Source organism: Homo sapiens, chromosome 3 (assembly GCF_000001405.40).
Source record: "Homo sapiens chromosome 3, GRCh38.p14 Primary Assembly".
Lineage (NCBI taxonomy): Eukaryota > Metazoa > Chordata > Mammalia > Primates > Hominidae > Homo > Homo sapiens.
In genome coordinates, this window is record NC_000003.12 from 150,630,437 (window position 1) to 150,635,695 (window position 5,259).

Consider the following 5,259-nt stretch of genomic DNA (forward strand, 5'->3'; position numbering starts at 1 on the left):
TTTGAAAGGAACTCCTACTTTGTGGAATTAAATCTACATTAGAGCACTTTATATGGTAACTATACTCACAAAATTTTGCATTATAAAAGTTATTATCATTACTTTTTAATGGCTTCTTAACCCGACCAGTGTTTATGACTCACTATCAGTCTGGCACTCAAGTCTTACCATACTCTTGGACCTTATGCTACTTCTCAAGCCTTACGGTCTACTTGTGCTTCAGTGCTGCTGAACTGTCAATAGCTCTGTGATGTATTCTGTGCTGGAGTGGAGCAAAGTGGAACAGTTTACATCACTGTCTGTCTTTACCCCCAACCTGCAGAATTCCTGAAACATTCACACTAACATCCTTAAATCTGGAGAGAAACAAAATGAATGTTTTTCCTCTATTGACTGGTATAGACAATTTAACAATCTCAGAAGAAAGAGCAAATATCAGATTTTTTTTTTTTAATTCAGCTGGCTCCTTTTCCCCTAGGCTTCAGAAAAGCAAATAGAAACAAATAGATCCACAGCCCAGGTGCAGTGGCTCATGGCTGGGAGACCAAGATGGGTGGATTGCTTGAGCCGAGGAATTCAAGACCAGCCTAGGCAACAAGGTGAAACTCCATCTCTACAAAAAAAAAATTAGCCAGGCATGGTAGCATGCACCTGTAGGCCCAGCTACTTGGGATGCTGAGACAGCAGGATCGCTTGAGCCCAGGAGGTTGAGGCTGCAGTGAGTCAAGATTGCACCACTGCAGGTGACAGGGCAAGACCCTGCCTCAAAAAAAAAAAAAAAAAAAAAAAACCCAGCTCCAAACTGTATCTTGAAGAAAAATATAAACTGGTTTCAGATACAGTAGAAAGCTGTAAAGTCATCCATTCTATAAGACTAACAGAATGTTTTCTTTTGCCAATGTTAAGCATGAGCAAAATAAAAAAGCATGCAGACAAACAGTAGTGGTTTTAAAATTTTAATGTGCTTAAAAATCACTGGGACAAATTTCTGGATCCCACTCCTAATGGTTCTGATTTAGTTGATCTGAAATGGTACCAGGTAATTTGCATTTCAAACAAGCTTCAAAATAATTCTAATACTGTTAGTCTGTGGTGTATACCAGGAGTCCCCAGTCCTTGGGCCATGGACTGGTGGTGGTCTGTGGCCTCTTAGAAAACCAGCCGCACACCAGCAGGTGAGTGTCAGGCAAGCAAGCATTACCTCCTGAGCTTTGCCTCCTGTCAGACCAGTGCATTAGATTCTCATAGGAGCCAGAATCCTATTGTGAACAGTGCCTGCGAGGGATCTAGGTTGTGCGCTCCTTATGAGAATCCTAATACCTGATGATCTGAGGTGGAACCTAATACCTGATGATCTGAGTTTCATCCCAAAACCATCCCCCCAACCCCCTGTCCGTTTATGGAAAATTTGTCTTCCACAAAAGCAGTCCCTGGTGCCAGAAAAGGTTGGGGACCGCTGGTCTACACTGAGTAGCACCATACCACAGAGCAGAATGCAGAAGATTCATCCTAGATGCATCCTAGATGCGTCACGTGTAGAATGACTTAACACAAATTCAGCAAAATGGGAGCTCAGGAGATAAAAAGAATGATATGAGAGGGAGATTATGTTTCTAAGAAAACACTGACTTAATTGTCCCAGTCTTATCAATGCAACACATCCTTTCTTGTTATCACTTTACAACCTTTTGCATGAATTTCTTTTAGAAGGAAGTATTAAATCTTTGAGTATAATATAAAATAACTGGTTTGAATTGCCAGATTTTCTCAGAGCAAACCAGGCAATAGCATACCTACATTATCCTTAATTTACAGTGACAACTGATTTTGATTTTCACATTAAGCAAAAATCTATGTAAATTCTTGTAATTCTGAGTAGAGAAAAATTTACATATTTAGCTTTATTAGAGTAATTAACCATAATAGAACTGTTTAAATTGCCAGGGAAACCCAATCTACTATTTTATCCCCACCAACCCCCCCAGAAGGATTAATTAGTTCATGTAACTGAGAAAGTCCAATGTAGAATTGGCTTCAGGGATTCAAATGAGAGAATCAGAACTCTCCTCTAAATCGGCCTCATTTTCTCCTTGAGAGAAATTATAATTAGGGAAGAGAGTTGGGGTAGGGGGTGAGAAGGGGGGATGATGAGGAGGGGAAAGGAAGAAGGAGAGCATGGATTAAAGTCCCAGAAAAGTACTCTGGTCCAACTTGTGTGTCACATTTCCTATCTTGGAACTTTCTCACTTGATATCTACTCCCTGATCATTTTGTCATCTGTTAATCCCTTTTTCCTTTATTGACCCCTTCCACCCAACCTCCTCCTCATTCAGGGTTATAATTGTTTAAGACAAGCCTATTGCTTTGTGGTTATAGGCTGCTCAGATCAAGTACTGCTCAGATCAGGTAGCTATTTAACCTGTTTGAGAGTTGTCTAGAATGGATGGAGCCAGCACTTGATTGCTTGGTTAAGAAACAAAAATATTAAGGCCTCGGGAGGTTGCTACCAACACTCCCTTGGGCCACTGGCCATACTCATCTGTTTTGTGTACTAACAACTCTTACAAGAGGAAAAAAACCATTACAGCTCCTTTGTTACTCTGGAGTTGCTAAGAGCAGATCTGTTTGAAAGAAAGTGTGCCATTGACATTTTTCCCTAAACGTTTTAAAAAATAGTATTAGAAAATGCTGCTGAATTTTGTCTTTTAACAGCTCATAAAATCTAGGAATAAAATTATTTTTTAATATATTAAAATACATAGTGTATATAAGCAACAGGTGACTCATAAATGTGATTCTTCCAGTAAAATTGTGTTTTATACAGATGTATAGAAATTTGGTGTTGAGATCTACTTCAGTACTTGAATTTTCAAATTAAAAAAAAGGCCAAGAGAGGTTAAATGTCTTGCCCTGGTTATATAGCTTATGGCAACGAAACAAAACCAAACAAACCCTACACCCTTGGCGGGGCTTGGGGAAAGCAGAATAACAGCAGAGGACTTTGTCAGAAATTAGGTGGGAAGAGAGAAGACAGTAACAAGGCAATTTTACAAATTTAATCTCAATTTCACTTCACATTTACGCTTTAGCTAAGATGGGCTGAAATTTTTCAAATAAACTAAAAAAGGCAGGTGTATGTGTGTGCAAGATACATCAGAGGAAGGCAAGTTTACATAATAATTTCTTATCCTAATATAATGAAATTCAGGTTTCAGATTGACTGGATCTATTTCCCCACTTGGAAAGATCCTTCCCCGAAAGCAGGTTTATAAATTGCAGTTCTTCAGACGACTCATCCTATTCACTGATTACATGATGAGAATTGAAAACACACAGAGATTACTAGCTATGTGTCCCAGGCAAGATGGCTACCTCACGTGTAAGGTAAGTTTAAAAACAGCACACCTGGCCGGGCTCAGTGGCTCACGTCTGTAATCCCAGCACTTTGGGAGGCTGAGGTGGGTGGATCACCTGAGGTCAGGAGTTCGAGACCAGCCTGGCCAACAAGGTGAAACCCCATCTCTACTAAAAATACAAAAATTAGCCAGGCGTGGGAGCGCATGCCTTGTAGTCCCAGCTGAGGCTGAGGCAGGAGAATCGCTTGAACCAGGAGGCAGAGGTTGCAGTGAGCCAAGATCGTGCCACTGCACTCCAGCCTGGGCGACAGAGCAAGACTCCATCTCAAAAAAAAAAAAAAAAAAAACAGCACACCTGCTTCTCAGGTGCAGTTTGGATCACATGTTCTCTCAACGCTCTTGCCATTTTAATTTGGTGAAATGCTGTGTTCAACTAGATCTCAACTTTGCTGAAGCACTGGCCTGCCTGGGACCATGGCCTAATGTGGCCCATTGCAAAACACAATTTTGTTGATGTCTCATTTTAAAATTCATGCCAAAAATCATTTTATTTCAAATTGTTCATTGCTGGGTTTAATATAAAAATGTTGTTTTATTGTTCTTAACTCCCTAAATCTTTAAGCAAAATGGATGCTCGGGAAATTTGTTTCTCCTGAGGCTGCGTGTAACCCCGGCATCTTATTCCCCATGGGTTTGGAGGAATGCGTGGAGGAATGTGTGTGTGTATGTGTGGACAGCATCTTAAGAAATAAGGTGATCATTATAGAGTCATCTTCTTCAAATTTGTATAAGTTTTCTAGATAATGTGTAGTACAGCCTTCTGCTTAAGGATTATTGCAGTAACATAAGCCAGGCACAGTGGCTCACGCCTGTAATCCCAGCACTTTGGGAGGCCGAGGCAGGCGGATCATGAGGTCAGGAGATCGAGACCATCCTGGCTAACACGGTGAAACCCCGTCTCTACCAAAAATACAAAAAATTAGCCGGACGTGGTGGCAGGCGCCTGTAGTCCCAGCTACTCAGGAGGCTGAGGCAGGAGAATGGCATGAACCCAGGAGGCAGAGCTTGCAGTGAGCCGAGATCGTGCCATTGCACTCCAGCCTGGGCGACAGGGCAAGACTCCGTCTCAAAAAAAAAAAAAAAAGGATTATTGCAGTAACAGAAGAAGATGTGTTTCCGGAGCTTTGTATCCAGAAAATGCATGTGGGAAGATTATATGGAAAATGAAGATAATGAGTTTTAAAATAATACACAAAGTTACGGTACCAGAAAAGCAGTTAAATACCGTACAAAGTAATGAGAAACATGCTGAAAACAGTCTTGAGGAAGGCTAAAATTGTGGTTCCATACGTTGACTGACTGAATGAATATGGTTAAGGCAGTTGTTCTCAACCGGGGTTTTACTCTCCAGGCTCATGCAGAGTGGCCTCTTTGGGTCCTGTAATGGTCCTGTTCTTAACCACCACCGCTAGCTGGGGCCTGGGGTGGAAGAGTCTTATCCTAATCGGTCCCCAGACGGGGAGAGGGCAGTGCTTGTTTCCTAGCCACTCTGAAAGGCTGAAAGCTGTTAAGGAGGCTTAGTGTCATTTCAAGCAGTCTTCCTTGCCTCTGTGAGTAGTTTTTCCATATTTATGCTTAAAACAAACAGAGGAAGCTTTTCATTCCAATAATGAAATAAAAGGCTAAATTCAAGGTAACAAACGTTTTAGTGGGAAAGATTGTCAAGGATAACAAACCAACAAAGGGAAATATCTCTTATTAGCTCTTTTCTTCTTTTGATTAGAGAAAAAAGCCAAAGAACTACTTTTGGGGCTTTAAGTGGCTAGTGGACTACCCCAGAGGACACAAAGAAAGAGGGTTCTCAGTGTTTCTAGGGCACTTCCTGTTTTCTTTGAACTTGTGT

The 5,259-nt window shown here is 41.1% G+C and overlaps 1 annotated feature.

The window, feature by feature from the left end:
* Positions 4,686–4,980: a silencer, noted in NCBI's record as "tiled region #4372; K562 Repressive DNase matched - State 5:Enh". NCBI's record gives its function as "represses a minimal TATA promoter and a strong SV40 promoter by Sharpr-MPRA in K562 cells {active_cell/tissue: K562}" and the evidence as "EXISTENCE:reporter gene assay evidence [ECO:0000049][PMID:27701403]".